The sequence below is a fragment of the Homo sapiens genome, chromosome 8 (genome assembly GCF_000001405.40).
Source record: "Homo sapiens chromosome 8, GRCh38.p14 Primary Assembly".
In the NCBI taxonomy this organism is placed as follows: domain Eukaryota; kingdom Metazoa; phylum Chordata; class Mammalia; order Primates; family Hominidae; genus Homo; species Homo sapiens.
In genome coordinates this window covers 73,614,862-73,635,822 of record NC_000008.11, presented here as the reverse complement: position 1 = coordinate 73,635,822, position 20,961 = coordinate 73,614,862, and the positions used below count along the sequence as shown (strand labels likewise).

The 20,961-nt window shown below is 38.4% G+C and overlaps 1 protein-coding gene across 7 annotated transcripts in view; it reads left to right on the top strand.

The window, feature by feature from the left end:
* Positions 1 to 20,961, top strand: part of STAU2 (staufen double-stranded RNA binding protein 2) — a 327,112-nt gene that overhangs the window by 111,658 nt on the left and 194,493 nt on the right. For all 7 annotated transcript variants that reach the window (NM_001164383.2, NM_001164382.2, NM_001164381.2 and 4 more), the window contains 2 exons: positions 18,372 to 18,531; positions 20,041 to 20,148. In NM_001164383.2, coding sequence (NP_001157855.1) covers positions 18,478 to 18,531; positions 20,041 to 20,148 — 162 coding nt within the window. In that variant the 5' untranslated portion in view covers positions 18,372 to 18,477. The remainder of the gene's footprint in view (positions 1 to 18,371; positions 18,532 to 20,040; positions 20,149 to 20,961) is intronic.

Sequence of the window (20,961 nt, the reverse complement as noted above, 5' to 3'; positions counted from 1 at the left end):
GACGGAGCCTTACTCTGTTGCCCAAGCTGGAGTGCAGTGGCGCGGTCTCGGCTCACTGCAACCTCTGCCTCCTGGGTTCAAGCAATTCTTCTGCCTCAGCCTCCCGAGTAGCTGGGATTACAGTTGCCTGCCACCATGCCTGGCTAATTTTTAAATTTTTAATAGAGATGGGGTTTCACCATATTGGCCAGGCTGGTCTCAAACTCCTGACCTCATGATCCACCCACCTTGGCCTCCAAAAGTGCTGGGATTACAGGCATGAGCCACCGCCCTCGGCCTCAGATTTTTATTTCTAATATTTCCTCCTCCATATTCCAGGGGCTTTGGAATATGAGCCCTTATCGCTGGGTCTTCAAACCAGTATGACTATTTTCCAGTGGCATTTTAGCTATTTCACATGGAATAGATGGGCTTGCCTTCAAATTCAAGCTATTAAAAGAAAAAAAAGGGAGAGAAATGCATCCTATGCTGTTCTTTTTTTCCAGATGTTAACTTGCCTCCAGTGTCCACCTGTTTCATTGACTTTTTGGTACCTTTAGATGATTGTTTTTTTACAGTTTGTTCAGAATTTATTGTTTCCTGCAGGAGAATCAGTTCAGTGAGAGTTTACTTGGCCATACTGGAAATAGGGTTACTGCTTTATTTATTTAAGAACGGTTTAGTATCCCACTGTGTGATTTCTCTGTAATTTATTTAACTTCTTAGTCCTGTATTCATGGACATTTAGTTGTTTTGAATCTTCTGATGTTATCAGTGTTGCAGAATGTATCTTTATACATACACGTGGTGAGACATTCTTATGGGTACTTGGAGTACATCAACAGACATTTCTGTCCTCATGAAGTGTACATTCTAGTTGGGGGAGATAGAAAATAAAAAATAAATACAAGTACATTGTATAGTAGATTAGAAAGTGAAAAGTGCTTATATAGGAAGAATAGAGCCCTGTTTGAGTAAAAGGATGGGAATCACAATTTGAATTAGGTCTTGCTGAGAGGTGAGATTTGAGCGAAGACTTTAAGAAGGTGAGAGAGTGAGCCTTGAGGATGTCTGAGGGAGAAGCAGGAGATCAGCCATTGTAAAGGCCCTAACGTGGAGGCTTATATGGTGAGTTTGAGGAGCAGAAAGGAGACTAGTGTGGCTAGAGAAGAGTAAGTGAAGAGGTGAGTGGTAGAAGAAGCCAGAGATGTGACTGGGAGCCTGATTTATGTAAGGCCTTGTAGGCCATTGTAAAGATTCTGGCTACTATGAATGAAATGCAAAACCAATGTAGGTTTTTTTATTTTTTGTTTTTTTGAGACGGTGTCTCACTCTGTTGCCAGGCTGGAGTGCAGTGGCGCAATCTCAGCTTACTATGTCTTCTGCCTCCCAGGTTCAAATGATTCTCCTGCCTCAGCCTCCCAAGGAGCTGGGATTACAGGTGTGTGCCACCACACCCAGCTAATTTTTGTATTTTTAGTGGAGATGGGGTTTCACCATGTTGACCAGGATGGTCTCAATCTCTTGACCTCGTGATCCGCCCACCCCGGCCAACGCAGGTTTTGAGCAAAAAATAAATAAATAAATAAATAAAAACCGTTTTGCTGATTAAGAGAGCAGTTGGGAGGTTATTACAATAATCTAGACTAGAGACGAGGCTGTTTTGAATGTTTTGGAGTTTTTTACCAATATAATTAGGTGAAGAATGATACCTCTTTGGCATTTTAATTTGCATTTCTTTGATTATGAATGAGGTCAAACATCTTCTCATATGCATAAAATCATTTATATTTCCTTTTCTGTGGTCTGTAAGTGTATAACCTGTGCTAGTTTTTGTGCTGATTCAGTAGTCTTTTTCTTTTTTTTGAGATGGAGTCTCGCTTTGTCACTCAGGCTGGAGTTCCGTGGCATGATCTCGGCTCACTGCAACTTCTGTCTCTTGGGATCAAGCAGTTCTGCCTCAGCCTCCTGAGTAGCTGGGATTACAGGCACCCACCACCACGCCTGGCTAATTTTTGTATTTTTAGTAGAAATGGGGTTTCACCATGTTGTCCAGACTGGTCTTGAACTCCTGGCCTCAGGTGATCCAGCCGCCTCGGCCTCCCAAAGTGTTGGGATTACAAGCATGAGCCACCGTGCCTGGCCTCAGTGGTCTTTTTCTTACTGACTTGTCCTCAGTATTTTTTAAAGCTCCTCATGTACTTCCGGTATATAGGCAAAGATGAAACCACTGATCTAGCCCATCCTCATCTTGTAGCCGCCTCAAGGTCAGATCATGCCCAATGTTAAGAGGTACTTGGAGTCTATAGTCACAAAGTACATTCACTCCCAGCACTTCCCCATTCAGATCTCACATGCATCCTTTCACTTTGAACTTGTCCTTCTGCTAGTCCTGATTGCTTTACTCCCACATAGCTGAGAACCTGGCCCTTGCTGGTCCTGTCTCTCCCTTGCAATCATTCACTTTTAAGTTGAGAGGAATATAGTAATGTAGTATTGAGGTTAGGGGGTGCTGTGGAGCCACTCTATCTTCATTTGAAACCTGGTTCCGCCTAGGCCAAGCAACTTATCTTCTCTGTTTTTCAGTTTCCTCAACTGTAAAATGGAAATGATAACAATATGTATTTGCCTTATCAGGCTATTGTGAGGATTAGATGAGTTACTGCATGCTCAGTGCCGGCATATAGTAAACCACTCAGTAATTGTTAGCTATAACCTCTCCTTCATTTAACAGATATGTAGTGGACTCCTTTTAAGTGCTAGGTATCATGCTGGATACCATACACTAGGGCTGCAGTGAATACAACTCCCTTTTTCCCTGTGTATAAGCAGAAATTGTCCCTTTTGTAGCCTTCCTAGAACACTATTCCTGGAATAGCATGCGTATCATTTACTCTAAACTTTTCCCTTTGTTGAGGAACTATGAGGTCTAATACAGGGTTCTCAAGCATTTGCAGGGGAGTCTGGCCTTTCTAAATTTGAGAAGTAACAGGATATACTTATTTTGATTATATTAGAATTACATTTTGATTAAACAAGAGTCAAGTGACAACTAAGATTATAAGTTTAGCTCTTCATCTGTTTGATTTTATCATGAGTTCACCAGCTCTGAAGTGTTCAGTTTCTGGCCAGAATTTCTTATGCATAACTGGGGTGATTTTAGCTTCCTGAGAGATCACCATGGTCATACTCTTGTCAGTCTTGATCACTCTCCTGCTTTGGAGTTCTCAGTCTTATAAGCTCAGATTGTATTGCAGGTTTCTAAGTCTCATAAGAAGTGTCATCCTCTGCAAATAGGATTATATGGTCTTATTTGCAAACCCTTTTTTGTTCTCTTGAGTGACTTTTTCAGGATAACAAAGAGAACAATAAGTAAAATTTGCTTAAGATGCATTCTTTCTTTACTCCCATGTGGGTCTCAGATTTTCAGAATTCTCCATGTTGATTCCTCAAATACTTAAGGAACCTTATATACACTGGGTTTGAATGACTTATTGGTTTGCTTGACATCCTGTCTTTGTAAGAGTATGTGGCAGGCTTTCTCCAAATCAATAAAGGCAGCAAGACTTTTTTTTTTTTTAATGTACTGAACTTAATAGTTGTTTACATACTCATTTTAAAATGGAAATAAAACTATCTTATATTCTGATCTTTTCTAAATCCAAATCAGTTCTTTATGTCAGCTTTCAATCGTCTATATTTCTAATGCAATATAATACAATATTCTTAATATCATACCTACTGTCAGCAAGTATTTTTTGCCCTTGTTCTCTTGCTCGTGTTCGTGTGCTGTCTCTCTCTCCTTTCCTCCCTCTGTCTTCCTCCCTCCCTCCCTCCCTCTCCTCCCCCCTTCTTGCCTCGTCCTTATCCCTCCTCTCTCTCATTGAGATAAAAATGAGCAACTTCAGCTTTTTGGCTGTTCTCTTTTGCGGGTGGGTAAGATTTAGGATCGTAGGCAGTAATATTTGGACTATATATTTAATCATCTCAGGTATTATTCTCATCATGGCTTACTGCTTTTCTCAGTTTGAGTTTCCTGGGAGCTTATTATTCATTAATTTCCCAGGCTTTTTCTTGGCTTCAGTTACAAGGACCTTGACCAACTTGCTTTATTTATTTCCTTATGATTTGTTGACATTCTCATGTTCTCTGGTCAAGATGCACTTCTTTAAAGATAAATGAGTTACTAGACTCCTGTACTGTAATTGACTGACAGGTCACAGAACAGTCTATACAGAACAGTCTGTGTAGAACAGAACCCCAAACATGTAAATAAATGGCCTTTACAATTTTTAAAAATTGTAGTAATGTTATTTATTATTTTACATTAAATTCTTCCAGAGGCTTATTTAGTTGATTTCTACTGGTTTTTATAGTATCTGAATTTATCAGCTTATCTTCTGCACACTGCTTGGTGTTTTGAACTGCATTGGTGTTCATTTTTTATTCCTCTTTTTTTTTTTTTTAAGAGATGAGGTCTCACTCTATTGCCTAGGCTGGAGTGCAGTGGTACTCAAACCGCAAGGGTACATTTGATGCTGAGCTCACTGTACCCTTGAATTCCTGGGCTCAAGCAATGCTCCTGCCTCCGCTTCTGAGTAGCTGGAACTACAAGGGTGTACCACCATGCCCAGATAATTTTTTATGTTTTTTGTAGAGACAGTCTTGCTATTTTGGCAAGGCTGGTCTCAAACTCCTGGCCTCAAGTGATCCTCCTGCCTTGGCCTCCTAAAGTGCTGGGATTATAGGTGTGAGCCACTGTGCCTGGCCTAGATTGGCATTCTTGAGTGACCAATGAACCAAATGTCAGATCTCCTAGACAGGCATGAAGTGATGTTCTCCCGGGTATGGTACAAGCGCTAATGGGAAACTAGGGGTGCCACTGAGCGTGTGAAATGAAAGTCTAGAGATTCTGCCAGCATAACCACAGCTAAGGGTATTCTTTACAGGGAATAACCAAAAGCTTTAGAGATGCTGCAGCTTCATAGAAACATTGTAGAATATCAAAGAAGGCTGATGGATTAGTTGTCAAGAGGGAAAGAGGCCAACAACTATGATTTCCTGGGGCTACTATGTTCTGACACAGCATGTATCTTGCATAGGGTGACACAGCTAGTAAAGGGCTGAGCTGGCCCTCCAGCCCAGGAGTAATATGTCATCAAAGCTCGTGCTTTTTCTGCTATGCTACACTAACTCATGTCAACATCCACTCTTTGGGAATAGTAGGATGTCATGATGACTGAGTTATTTCAGAATATCTTCAAAAACTATTTTGTCCACAGAAAAGAATGTCTTTGGCCACACTTTGTATTTAGTGTGACTAAAATACACGTATCTGTATTGTGAACAGGAGTAAACCATCATAACCCGAGGCCAAAACTGTTAGCCTTTCAAAGCTCTAAGTATTACTTCAGCCTCTTCCTATGTGTGGTAGTCAGACTGGATATCAATATTGTCTCTACCAATATCATCTCCCTTATTTGTTGCTGTGTTTTACCTCAGGGTACATGGCAAAGATAAAGAGGATTGGATAGTTCTCAGCTTAGTGTGCATCCTGGAATAAGAGACAGTTCACACTGACTAACCGATGTAAAAGCATACCTTGCGTATCTGCAGCAATGCAGGAAAAGGAGAGCATAGGTAATTGAAATCCACATAGTGCATTCCCCAGAGGATTTGTGCAGGAAAAATTTTACAAATTAATTTAAAATGACTGAAAATTATAAATTGTTTAACGTTAATCCAAGGTACTTTAAAAGTGGAAGAGTTTTCTTAAAGTTCCAAGTACTGTACTATTTTAGCAAATGTTGCTTTTTTTACACTTTTAATATTAAACAGTATGAAAGGATCCAGGTAGTTGAGCAAAGTTCATTTTCCTATTTCTTTGAAAAGCATCTCTATAAAACATAAAAATAAAAAAAAATTAGCCAAGTGTGGTAGTGCACGCCTGTGGTTCCTGTTACTTGGGAGGATTGCTTGAGCCTTGAAAGTTGAGGCTGCAGTGAGGCATAATCGCACGACTACACTTCAGCCTGGGTGACAGAGGGAGACCCTGCCTCAAAAAAGAAAAGTGGGCTTCGAGTCAGACAGTGGTATTGGCTCCAGAGCATCTGTATAATTCCAGTAAATCATCTGGTTTGGATTGTAATGAACCCCCCAAAGTGTGTTACTCATAGCCGAAGAAATTTCTAAGACCCTTAAATGATTACTGTCAATAATCTGAGACTATTTGCATTGCCTAAAATCTGACAGGAGATCTCCATGTGGCAGTTCCAGCTAATAAATTATATTTCTACTTTTAGTTTCTACGAAGCTACTTTAAAACCCTGCAATTTTTTTAAAACATACGTGTCCTTCTAATGATTGTGAGACTATGAAACAAAATGATTATCTTTTAGATTAATTCTTATCGCAGGTGAGAGGATAAAGTGTTTTGTAAAATAATGTATTAAACATACCTATTCCTTGGCATGTATGTTTAGATTTTTAATTATAATTTTTATGATGTGTTGGAGCCAGCATTTTCCTGTAGAAATATAACTCAAGATTTAATATTGGGCAACAGTGGGAAAATGGGATTTAGTATGAAAATATTTGCTTTATGTAAACCTTTTTATGAATGCACCTAATGTATAAAGTGAAGTCAAGCTGTAAAAACAATTAGCTGGGAAAATGCCAAGTAAATTTTTTCTGTTCCAGTGAGTATCTATTAACTATACATTATTGTTATCATTAAACTGTATGCAAATGTATGACTAAATTCATTTAGATTTGAGTGAAAGAGACAGAATACTAGAAGTATGCAGTAAGTATAATTAGTTTGCATCTCCAAACAAAGCACATTAATCTTTCTGCAATACCGCTGATGTAATGTCTCCATGTTACTTTTGGGAGTATGTGAAGTGGGCAAACATCCAAAGTTGATAGTTAATTCTGATCAGCAAAAGCACTGGAGTAGATGCCTGGGCTGGACGTTGTAATAAAGCAAACAGTTTTTAAACTTCTTGGAAGATTTTAGTGCAAACGTAATCATCCATTTGAATCTTTTATTATAGACATTATAAAATTAATTTATCGAAAAAGAGTGTAAACCCTCTTTTAAAAAATCCAGTATGTTTGTATCTTTTATACTTTCATGCTTTTTATACTTCTAACAAACTTTTCAAAAACATATGCTTGTGGACTTAATGGAGAGATAGAAGTTTTATAAGTATTTTCTAGAGCTCGTTTCGTGAATCCTTTTGTTGGTGGGAAGGACTTGAGAGATTTTCTACACTAGTTGTTTTCAAAGTGCATTCTCAGAGAACCCTTAACCAAAGATGATATCTGCTGCTGGAATTAAATAATAGGAATATTCTTACAACTCAAAGAAACAATAAGCCATATTTTCCATAAGTTTTTAGTACGTAAGATTCTGCTATTAGATTACTAGCATGCAGTATTTAGTGAATATATATTGAAAAGTTAAAAGTGGCTGGGCACAGTGACTCATGCCTATAATCTCAGCACTTTGGGCGCCCGAGTTGGGAGGATTGCTTTAGCCCAGGAATTCAAGACCAGCCTAGGCAACATAGGGAGTGCCTGTCTCTACAAAAAAAAAAAATTAGCCAGGCATGATGGCACATGCTTGTGGTCCCAGCTACTTGAGAGACTGAGATGGGAGGATTGCTTGAGCCCAGCAGGTTGAGGCCGCAGTTAACCATAATCATGCTCTGCACTCCAGCCTGGGTGACAGAACGAGACCCTGTTTCAAAAAAAAAAAACTTACATTTTAAAAAAAATTGTATGTTTTTGAACTGCAGAGTATATGTGTGAACATATATATCTATTTGAAAATTGTCCCTCAGTACACAGATATGCTATATTTCATGAAAAGTATAATAATTTTCAACTGGTTTGTCACTTGAATAAAGCTGAAAGTTGATACAGACAAAATTGTTCTTATTACTGATGGCTCTTAGAGAACATAAGGCTTCTTGCCCAAAGTCTTTATAGATCTAGTAGCTGGAACTTAAATCCAGTAGATCTTATTCTAAACCTAAAAATATTTTCCTCTGTCCACACTGTCAGTGTTTTTTTTTTTTTTTTAACAAGGTTTAATGAGTATTTACTAGCCGTGTTCCCATTCAAGTAAGAAATAAGAATATTCTTTATCAGCTGCTATTTAGTATTCTTTTGGAAGTTTGGATCAACAAAATTAGCAAAATAAATTGTGGAAATAAATAGGAAAAACAAATTCTGGAAATAATAGGAAAATCCTAATTTTTTCTTATGAAACAAATGGTGAGAGAATTAACTAAAATCCCATTAAAGACAGGAAGAGCACTCTGTAAGGCAGATGAGTACAAAGTTGATATTCAGGAATCAGAAGCCTTTGTATTCACAAACAGGGAAGAAGGCCCCTGTGACGAGGCCCTTCTCAATCTGTAGCATGTGTGCAAACCACCTAGGCTGTTAGGTAATGTGCGCATTCCTGGACTCCATCCTGAATCCCTTTGGTCAGCCCTGAATCTGCTTTTTAGCAAGTGTTTCTAGACCCCATTAGGAAGACTCCAGTGTTTTCTATGTGGGACCCACTTGAGAAATACTACTCCAGGGAACCCGCCCTCCTGCCCCCCCCTCCCCCCCCCCCCCCGCCGTATTCCTGCAGCATCACTCCACAATTCTGCTGGTTTCCACAGTGCTAGCCATTTACCTCTCAGACAGGCCTGCTGCAGCACCCAGGGGAACACAGTGGCAGCACACTGGAAGAAGAGGCCCCCAGATCGCCTTGCCAGGGACCCTTCTTCACAGTTGCAAAGTAGGAACACTTCCAGCACTGCTTTGCTTGTCAGCCACCACAGGGGAGGCACATCTTACTGCTTCTGCCACACACTGTCTGACCACCAGGAGGGCAAGAAATAGGGTGGTGTCCTTTAGCACCTGAAGACTTTGAGCAGAACCTCCAGGCTGGGTGCACCCTTTCCTCACCTGCCAGATTCAGCGTGGCTGCTTTTCACTAGAGTTGATCACCCATTTTTCACTAGTCCTATGGCTACCTAATTCCTGTGTGTTCTACTGCCTCCCAGTTGGAATGAGCAGCGATGCTTGGCAAAACTGTAACTGGTTAATTCCAGCTCCTCTGACTCTGCTGCAGTTGCTCCTAGGAAGCTACAGAAAAACATCTATGCTGACTAGTCCACCTTGATATAATGACCACAATCCTTAAGTGAAATTGTAGCACTGCCTGCAATCCTATATTTTCTTGAGCAGTTCAGTCTCCTATTTTTAGAGATGACTTTTCCTGCACTATGGAATGGCTTGTCACCTATTCTCTTCTTGCCTCTCCTCGGGTAAATAGCAACAAGATCCTTTTAAATCATGTCAGATTGTGCCACTTTCCTGCTTAAAACTTTCCAGTGGCTTCCATCATGTGGAATTAAGTTCTGATTTGCTGCCTGGTGACTTCTCAGACCTAGTTTCCTACTAATCATTCCTTGACTCAGGGCTTGTCAGGTACAAGGAACACTTGCCCTTTCTCAAAAATGGACCAACCAACATGTTATTTCTGCAGGGCCTTTGCACTTGCTGTCTTATTTGCTTAGAGCACTTTTTCTTTCTGGCATTTCCATGCCTAGAATTCTCACTTTATTCAAATCTGTGTTCAAATGTCACCTCCTAAAGGAGCCCCTGTTAATCTTTTTCTATACCATGCTTTATTTTTCTTCCTAGCTCATCTCATTTGTTGATGTGTATGTGTCTGTGTGTGTGTGTGTGTGTGTGTGTGTGTATGTGTACTTACTTGATTGATAGTTTCCTGAGGGCAGTCCTCCATCTCTAGAAACTAAAACTCCATCCCAGCATGAAGTAGGCCTTTAATAAGTATATGTTGAATTATTAATGTAATTCACATACCCCCCTAGCAATTAGACAAGAGTAGGAAGAAGACCAGGTCAGTAACATCCTAGAGTGCAAAAGGGAGGTCTTTTACACTTCCCTTTACAAAATTTGGTAGGCTAGTTTGTGGGAGTCTGCCAAGAATGTGAATGAGAGTAGGTGAGATCACCTACAAAAACTGTCTTGTCAGTGAGAAACAAAATAGAACCCTAGGGAGTATCAACATTTTTTAAAAAAATGATTTGTATTGAAATAAAATTTACGTAACACAAGATTAACTATTTTAAAGTATACAATTCATTGTGCATTTAGTACATTCACAGTGTTGTACAGCCATCACCGTGGTCTAATTTCAAAACATATCTATCACTCCTAAAAGAAACCCCATACCTGTTAACAGTTACTCCTCAAACTCCATCCTCCCAGCTCCTGGCAACCACTAATCTACTTTCTGTCTCTATGGGTTTGCCTATTCTGGATATTTTGTCTAAATGGAATCATAGAGTATATACTCTTTTGTATCTAGCTTCTTTCACTTAGCATAATGTAAGTTCGTTTATGTTGTAGCATGTAATTATACTTCATTCCTTTGTACGACTGTAAAACACTCCATTGTGGGGACATACCACATTTTATTTATTCATCGGGACATTTGGGTTATTTCCACTTTCTGACTATTAGGAATAATGCTGCTGTAAACATTTACCTACGAGTTTTTGTTTGAACCCCAGTTTTCATTTCTCTTGGGTATATATTTAGAAGTGAAACTGCTGGGTCAAGTGGTAATTCTGCTTTTAATTTTTTGAGGAACTGGTAAACTATTTTCCATAGCAACTGCACCATTTTACATTCCCACCAGAATGTATGAGGGTTCCAATTTGCCATGTCTTTATGACTTTTTTTTTTTAAACTATAGCCATCCTAGTGGGTGTGTGAAGTAGTGTCTTATTGTGGTTTGGATTTGCATTTCCCTAATGAGAACATTTAAACCTGGGCTCCAGATGGGTGGGTTAAGAGGAGACAAAAAATGAGCAGAGAGGAAATAGGACTTTGCAGTCAACTTGGTCTTCTAGACTTACAGTGTCCCCATCATTGCCTTTGGCAGCTGATATCCTGCACCTGACTTTTGGCGTACAGAGATCTTCAGAATCTGCCAGATCTCATACATCTAGAGAGACTTAAGTTGCTTTGATATTCCCAGTCCAGCATGACTTCTTCAGAGTTTATAGTTAGTACTTCTGCAGTTTATAGTGTTCATCTATCCAGTTCATTCAGAGGCAGCATGGTATAGCAGTTATGAGCATGGGTTCTGGAGTGAGACTGCCTGGGCTCAAATGTGAGCTCAAGTCGGGTGGCCCTGGGAAGGTTAGTGAATATCTCTATTCTTCAGTTTCCTCATCTGTAAAATGAAGTGGGGTTGTGAGGATTCAGTGAGATTAGTATCTAAATGCTTGGAATAGTGCCTGGCACATAGTAAGTGCTTTGTATGTTTTAGCTCTAATTATGATAATGGTGATGTGATAATGATTTATCTATATATCCATTTAGAGAAGGGGCAAGAACAAGTTTATGTTGGTTCCAAGTATGAGATTGAGGGTGGTGATTGTGTGTTTACAATAATGGGGCTCTTTGATAACGTGCTGTGCTTTGCATAGTCCTGATTATGGCACTACTGTCAGTGATACAGTACAAGTTACTTATTCTCTTGATTTGTGTTCTGTATTCCATAAATCATTCCACTAGTTTATCAAATTTAATTTCAAACACAGATTTACCTTTGTTTGGATAGGGACTAGACTTCCTTCAATTAAGTATTTTTTTTTCCATTTTTATTCTAGTGTACCGTATTATTTTTTAAAACTTGAAATTATGAGAGGAAAGAACATCATTTATAATGCTATCATTTCAAAACACCCTATCCTAGCTTTTAGTGCATATCTTTCTATATTTCCTCTAGGCATTTAAAACATACTTACAGTAATTCTACAAATAGAATATCCATACACCTCTTTTAAAGCATATTTTCATCTGACCTGTGAATCTTTTCTAATCAGTCCTAATATTTGAAATTCCTCAAGAATTAACAGTTAGATCTCATAAAAGATATATTTTTCAAAATTTGTAGATATGAATAGAGAAAGAACTGTCTTCTATCTAGATATTTTATATACATACAAGTTTGAAAATGTGCCAAGGACTATTTTATAGCTCTATGATAAAAACCTGCTGTTTTTCTACAGCAAGAAAAAGAATGCTTAGCAGTGCCAAAAAGTGTACAAAGAGTCAAAATAATCGACATGTCATTTGAATTCTTAGTTTTGGCCTTTAGGGTCCTTTAAACATAAATTCTACAAATATTTTGTAGATAAGTAAACTGAGATAGAAAGGTTAAGTGACATTTCTGTTTCCAGTCAATGTTAGAAATAAACACAGAAATCCAAAGCCTCTCCTTATTAGATCGGAAGATAGCATTTTCATATATTTTAAGATGTAAGTCTGTAGGGGAGATATGAATGTTTAAGCTGTGTTGAGATTTATGAATAATGCTATCAAATAGAATGAGGTAATTATTTTTCAATTTGTAAAAATCCTAATGTTATTTGGGATATGTCTTTCTCACCTTGTAAAAATGATACTCAGGAAAGTGGAGATGTTGGAGAATAAAACAGTCACAGAATGGTAGGGAGGACATACGGGATTTTAGTTGTTTAGAAAGATAATACAAAATGAGTCCATAAAGAGGGCATTAAATGAAGTAACTTTAGGGAGGTTGGCAAGGATATGTGGTATAAAAAGTTGCTACAACTAACAGTCAGATATAAGTGAATGTAAAATCTTTCCTTTACTCAAAAAAACTGTAAGGAATATCAAGTATTAAATCAAAGGAACCAGTATACATTCTTTCTTACTGTTGTATTGACTTGTGGTATCTTGAAGATAGGCTGAATCTCAAGACTTGTTTGGGATCTAAAGGAAAGGAAGATTCTATTTTATTTTATTTACAATTTTATTTATTTTTTGCAAGACTTCCAGCAGTTAGAAGGCAAGGAGACATGGGGATAAAAAGGCCTTGCAAGCAGCATTTGTCAGATTTAGTCTGTTAAGTAATGTGGCACACAACGCTGTTCATTTTGATGTTTCACTTTGATTTTACGTCATGCACTTGTGTCTATTTGATCTGACATGCTGCAGAAACACAGTGTTTCATCATGGTTGTCTGTTTGTTTCAGCAGCCATTCACTCAATAAAACATCTCTGAAGTCTATCAGTGGGCCTTACTTTAGATCCCTTGCATTAGGTTCTCTGGCCTTCCATGAAGATAGACAATTTAATAAACAAAAATTAACAAAAATGGAAGAAGATAAAGCAGATTTTTAGGAAGCTCCATACGGAATTTCCTGGACTCTGCAGTTAGGCAGACTTAAATTTGGTTCCCAGCAACTCTTTTGGGGACATTTGTTACCTCTTAAGGTGACCTTGGGGACATCTCCTGCCTCACCAGGCTGTAGTGAGGATTAAATGAAAAAGAGATATGAAAGACCTGGCCAGGCGTGGTGGCTCACGCCCGTAATCTCAGCACTTTGAGAGGCCGAGGCGGGCGGATCACAAGGTCGGAGATTGAGACGATCCTGGCTAACACAGTGAAACCCTGTCTCTACTAAAAATACAAAAAATTAGCCGGGCGAGGTGGCGGGCGCCTGTAGTCCCAGCTACTCGGGAGGCTGAGGCAGGAGAATGGCGTGAACCCCAGGGGGCGGAGCCTGCAGTGAGCCGAGATTGCGCCACTGCATTCCAGCCTGGGCGACAGCGAGACTCCGTCTCAAAAAAAAAAAAAAAAAAAAAATTAGCTGGGCATGGTGGCGGGCGCCTGTAGTCCCAGCTACTCGGGAGGCTGAGGCAGGAGAATGGCGAGAACCCGGGAGGCGGAGCTTGCGGGGAGCCGAGATCTAGCCACTGCACTCTAGCCTGGGCAGCAGAGCGAGACTTCGTCTCAGGAAAAAAAAAAAAAAAAAAAAGAGAGAAAGACCTAACCATTGTGCAGTAAGCATTGTGTGTGGTCTCCTTGAATGGACTCTGAAGCAATTGCCAAGTCACATGGGCCACATTGTGGGATGTGGTGATAATCCTGGACCTTTATCGTGCAGAGAGTCAGCAGGGCAGCTTAAAATTATGGTTCCATCCTCAGAAACTCTGATGCAGCAGATCAGGCTTGGATCACAGGAATCTTCATTTTTAACAAGCATGGAAGATAATTCTGATGAAAGTAGGATCTTTCAAATCCCAAGACTTTTTTGGGATTTAAAAGAAATGCAACCATTTGACCCTGAAACTTAAATAACTTGGATGGGGGAGTTTTCGTGGTTCATCTTTTAACAGTAATCATTATGGGGATCTAAACATTGACCACAGAATTCTACTTGAGAAAAATCATTCAAGAATAGCTATGTCTGCTTAGGTAAATATACTAATTTGTAAAAATATGTACATCACTTATTATACCTACTGTGTTAGTCTGATCTCATGTTGCTGTGAAGAAATACCCGAGACTGAACTGGGTGATTTATAAAGAAAAGAGGTTTAATTGACTGACAGTTCTGCATGGCTGGGGAGGCCTCAGGATGGCAGAAGGCACCTCTTCACAGGACAGCAGGAGAGGAAATGAATGCCAGCAGGGGAAATGCCAGACGCTTATAAAACCGTCAGATCTTGTGAGAACTCACTCCCTATCATGAGAATACCATGGGGGAAACCGCCCCCATGATTCACTTAACCTCCAACCAGGTCCCTCCCACGACACATGGAGATTACAATTTGGATTACAATTCAAGATGAGATTTTGAGTGGGGACACAGCCAAACCATATCAAATACCTTACTAAAAGTGAGCTTAATACTTGAAATAAGTGAAAGTAGAAGGAAATCCACTAAATAGAACATATCGATCTTTATAATTAATAAACTTTGGGTATTTCTTTACCAAAGGAAGTAAGTATTTTGAGACCAGACCTATCACACAAAAACCATTCTGCATCATCTCCCCTGTAATTCAATCTGGATGCAATTAATGAGAGTGCTCTGGCTAATCTTGATTGTCATGATGGTATGAGGAGATGTGATATATAAGGTATTCAAACCATGTGGGGTATATTATTAAGAATCATTGTTAAGTAAGAGGATGAAGTGAAACAGAATGAAATAAGTCAGGCATCCAGTCTTGGTATTTCCTGTTGTTAGTGCTAGAATTTTTACCTTTTATGTTAAAAATGCAACATACTTAATTTTTCCTCTGATACTTACACAATATAATTTATATATACATATATATCCACATGCATGCACATACACATACATTGAGCCATATTTGATGACCAAAAAGGGAGAGGCCCCAAGGGCTCTTTGGTGTGCAATTAATATTTTGGCCAGAAAATCAGCAGATTGTTTCAGTATGGTTATGTGTTATGACATCATATTCCAGTAAAGTTACAATGAACAGAAATTTTGTTTGTCTCTGTGGCAAACCAAAATGAGTTTTGTAATTGTCAGCAGGCCTTAGTGATTATAGTGGCGCCCACTCCCTCTACTGTAGTTAAAGGTCTGTTAGCATTTCAGTTGTGGACCTTCTATTTTCAGAAGTTTATAATTAATTGTAAACATTTGCTCTATGGTGAAAGTTTGCCATATGAGATCTCACTTCAGGAGTAAATTTCTGATTTCAAGTTGTCTGTTTTAAAGTTTTATAGTACCACCAGTTAAAAATAAACAAAGTTATGTGGAGGTGGGAAAATTGAATTTTGAGAAATATGAAGTGAAGATGACCGGCGTTATTCATATTAGTCTGTCAGATTTCTGCATTAAGGAATTAAAATAAATTTCTGCATTAAAGGGATTAAAATAAAATAGATGATAGGAAATTGTGCACTTCAGTACACAATATTTAATTGTTGTAACCAAAAAGCAAAAAAGATTATAGTTTTTTAATGCTTTTTAATCTTTGTTTATAATAAAAACATTTAAAATGCGTTATCTTAAATTAATAGAAAACTGTAGTTCAAGAAAATTGATTTTAGGTTAAGCATTTAAAACAGCAACTTTTTCTTTTTTTTCATACTCTGAATTCCTCTCCTTCATTTGACACTGTTAATTACTCCTGTCCCTGACATTGTGTTGTAATTTTTCTTCTAACTTTGACCCTTTTTCATCTCTTTCACTGCTGTCTATTGTTTCCCTTGCACTTTGATCACAGGCATTAATCAGTTCCGAGCCTTAGGCTCTTTTTTGATTCCTTTACACTTACCCTTTCCAGGTGCTTATCCACTTGCATGGTTTCAATTATTGCCTCACAAATCTGCATCTTCAGTACCAATCAACATTTCTAGTTCTTCACCTTCAGTAAACCTTCATTGATTAGTCCCATCTGCCTGGTGAATGCTTACATGATGCGCTCTATCCAGTTTATCTCAGGTTGGACATAGAGCGTCACTACTTGGATGTGCAGTAATTATCTAAAATATAGTAGGACCTCAATTGGACTTCTTTTTGCTTGGAAACAAACATTTTTTAGGACTGGAGTGATTTTTAACTCATTTTTTTCAGCATTGCAGTTGTAAATCCACCATTCCATCAAAATCGATTCTGTTTATTTTGCTAAGTTGCTCAATTCAGTGGTCATATTTCTCAGTCATCATTTTACTTGACCTGTTAGTAGCATTAGATCCAGTTAATCCCTCCCTTCTCCTTGATAGACTTTTTTCCTGTTTGACTTTCAGGAAGGACATCGTGCTTGCTTGGCTTTTCTCCCATCACACCCTCCCACAGAGTTCTCATTATATTATGCCTTTAAATACCACCTATATACTGATGATTCCCAAATATTATTTCTATCTTGGACCTCTTTCCTGAAGTCCAGACTAATAAATTCAGTTGTCCAGTTGACATCTACACTTGGATATCTAATAGGTCTAATAATTGAATATCCCCAAAACAGAGCTGTTGAAATCCACCCCCAGCAAACCCATTTCTTTTGCAATCTTCACTGTCTCAATAGATGGGTACTCCATTTTCCAGTTGTTTAGTTCCGAAACCGTGATGTCATCCCTGACTCCCCTCTCATATTCCATAGCCAGTCTTTGGGTAAACCCATCATCTCTACTTTCAAAATTCATCTAGAAACAATGACTTCTCGTTACTTCCATTGCTACACCCTAGTTCAGGCCACTGTCACCTTTCCCCTTGATTATCCCAGTAGCCTATTAGATATCCTTGCTTCCAGCATTGTTCCCCTACAGTGTGTCCTCAAAATAGTAGTCAGATGGTTATTCCAAGAGATAAGTCAGATTTTGTCACTTCTCTGTGCAGAACCTTCCAGTGGCTGGTCATTTCACTTGGGTTAAAAATGCCTACAGCAATTTGTAGGGAAGGCCCTATGGAATCTTGCCACCTCTTCTCATCTAGCTTTTCCTGTCTCCCTAAACTTTTGCCAGACAGGCTTCCTCCGAGTTACTTGAACATGTGTGGCACACTCCCGCCTCGCTGCCCTTGCTGCTGGTATACTCTCTGCTTCAGATGCACTGTCCCAGAGATCTGCATGGCTTGTTCCCTAACTTATTTCATGTCTTTACACAATTGATATTTTCTCAATGAAACTTCTCTTGGCCACCCTATCTAAAACCTACCTCCCTGACACTTCTGAACCCTTTCCTCTTTACTTTTTCTTACATCTACATCTAACATACTAGGTATTCTACATATTTTTCTTATTGTTTATCTTCCCCACTCTAAGTGTTGTTGTTCATTGTCATAGTCCCCTGTCAAATAGAAGACGCTCCATAAATAATTGTTGAATTAATGGATTTTATTACATATCTTAATTTTTTCTGCTTAATTTCTTTTGGTTTTTTTGTTTCTTCTTACATTCTCTGTTATCTCTTCATATCTGCATTATTGCAGCTTTTTAGTCACACCTCATTAGCCTCATTACCTCAGGCACCGTAAAATGTATGAATATAACACTTCCTGCTTAAGAACTGGCCTAAACTCCTTATTCTTATGCTGAATCTGCTCTCCTTATTACTTTGCATTGTAGTCGGTCCATTTCTAATCTATATTTCTAATCGTAATTATCTTCTGCAAAAAGCACGGTAATCTACATGTTGTCGCCTGAACAGTCTTGCCTGACCCAGCCTCTGTTGTAGCTTCATCAGACTGTTCTCTTACTTCTGTCAAAATCTGACCGAAAACTTCTCACCAGGAAGTATCCTGTGATATAATTAAATAATTTTTACTGTATTGTTTTATGTTTAATGTTGTATTCTATATATGTTTTTCATGGAGATCAGTATAAGCTATTATCTATAGATGTATTGACTCACATTTTATCAAAAAAGTATGTTTTTGAGGTTAAAGTTTTATTAAGAGTATAGCACATTATATAATTGGTATCATTTTAAACAAATCTTATGAATGATTATAGAGTGGTTTTATTAAGCTAACTTTAATGTTTTTATTTTCTTATTTTAGGTATCATTGCCCAGTGCCTAAGATCTTTTATGTTCAGCTCACTGTAGGAAATAATGAATTTTTTGGGGAAGGAAAGACTCGACAAGCTGCTAGACACAATGCTGCAATGAAAGCCCTCCAAGCACTGCAGAATGAACCTATTCCAGAAAGATCTCCTCAGGTGTGGTGCTGCTGCATGTGACAGTCTGTTCTTTCTACTTTCCCAGTGAAACAAATCAGAGCATTTTATAATTAAAATAAATAATCTGTTCTGATAGGGAAGAATACTAGAGTGAAGACCTGACAGTCTTGCTTCATGTGTTCCTGCAGGGTGACTACCTTTCAGAGCTTTGGTTCTTCCCTTGAGTTCACTTCCCAGGCAACTGGGGATTTGGGGATGTATATGAGGATGAGAAATAACATTGATTTGGCTTATATTTCATACTATGTTTATTGAATATAGATTACATTGTGTGAATCTAGAATCAAGGATTTAAAGTGGAAGAGATTTTATGGATTTTTCAGTCCTCTTTTGTTTTACAAATGACATTGAGGCTGTTCTTAAGTAATCTCACTCATTCTCATGGCTTCAGCTACTTTCTTGATTGACTTCAAAATAGTATCTCTAGCTCAGGCATGTCCTATACATAGCATAGTGAGCTTCCTTTTTTTTTTGAGATGGAGCCTCGCTCTGTTGCCCAGGCTGGAATGCAGTGGCAGGATCTCAGCTCACTGCAACCTCTGCCTCCCGGGTTCAAGCGATTCTCCTGCCTCAGCCTCTTGAGTAGCTGGGACCATAGGCTCATGCTACCACGCCCAGCTAATTTTTTGTATTTTTAGCAGAGATGGGGTTTCACTGTGTTAACCAGGATGTTCTCGATCTCTTGACCTCGTGATTTGCCTGCCTCGGCCTCCTAAAATGCTGGGATTACAGGCGTGAGCCACCATGCCCGGCAGCATAGTGAGCTTCTTACTTACCCTACAGTTCAACCTCTACAGTTTTCCTTTCCCCAAACCAATTGTTTCTTTCTCCTTTGATATTTATCTTAATGGCAGACTTAGGTGTTTTTCTGCTTGTACTCTTTCATGAGAGCTCCTATCTATTTCTTGATCTGTTTTCCCACTAGATCATTCTCTCCCAGTTCTTGACAGCAAGGAATACTGTCTCTTTCTAATAGTTATAGTAAGTTCAGCATATATGAGGCCTTCCAGAAGTATGTGTTAAATAAGTGAATAAAGTAAACCAATGCCTGTGCCAGACATAGATCTCCAATTAGGATGCTCCTGGTTTGCATCCTGTACTCTTTCTGTAACTTCATCCTCATAGATCACATTAGAACACCAGTGGGGGAATTCCTGGGTGTTGGGGGTTGGGTGGGTAGAGAACTCTAAAACAAGAGTGCCAGGTTTAGGGATGTAGGCTAAACTCAAATTAGTGTATGGTTGAGTAAAAGATTTCCAAAGTCTGCATTAAATGCTTTTCCTTCAAGGAAAACAAGCTAAAAATCGAGTAACAAAAAGCCTGGCAGCAAAGCCCTTGACCGCTGTGGTTACAGGAGAATGCAGCAGATACAGTCTATATAGTTTGTTGTTTCTTCTTGTAATTTAAATAGGCCATCTTGACTGTAGAATAAAAGTAAAGTTTGTTATAATGTCAAGATTCAGTGTTATCCTATTTTTTGTGATTTAGAATGGTGAATCAGGAAAGGATGTGGATGATGACAAAGATGCAAATAAGTCTGAGATCAGCTTAGTGTTTGAAATTGCTCTGAAGCGAAATATGCCTGTCAGTTTTGAGGTATGTACTCGGTAGAGATCTTCCCATTTTTTCCCTTGCTGTGGTTATTTTAAACAAACAAATCAAATTAACTGGTGTATTAGTATCCTGCAAGAGTTAGTGTGCTTCTATATGTTCAAACCCAGTATTATGAAATGATCTAGGCCCTGGTGAAAATAGAAATCATGATGATAACACAGATTCCTTCTGATTTTTTTCTTTTCTGTATTAAGCCTTTTGTATACATGGTATTTCAATTTTTATTATAAAAGTTATTTTCTGGGTATAGATAATTTGTGGTATCCTATAAGATTTGGCATTTTAAATAGGATTAAATTAAATTTATTCAAGTTAAGATTTAGTGACATACATGTTAATATCCAATTTTTTTTTCAATTGTGTGGAGGCCAAAATATGTTTCACTTTAACCTCAACTAACAAAATCACCAAGAAGTAAGATGTAATGAAGCAACTCTTGACTTAACAGCTAGATAAATATATTGCAAATATATTCATAAAATTGTATGAAATTTCAAAAAAGAAAACTTAAAAAAATAATTATTATAATACTTCTTTTATTAAGAGGTCACTAATTTTACAACTCATGTCTGGAAAGTAGACAAGAACCAGGAAATAAGCTGAAAGAGTTGTGGAGATTCTTCCCTCACATTGTATGACATTCACCTACTAGAAAGCTCCCACATCTTACTCATTGGCAGGATCATCTGAGTTGGACTGAGAAACTGTTTGCTTTCTCTTGGACACATTCTTACAAGTTGCATTATCTCAGTTCTCGGTCCACAGCTTGTTAAAAGCAGCAAAATGAGGAAGTCA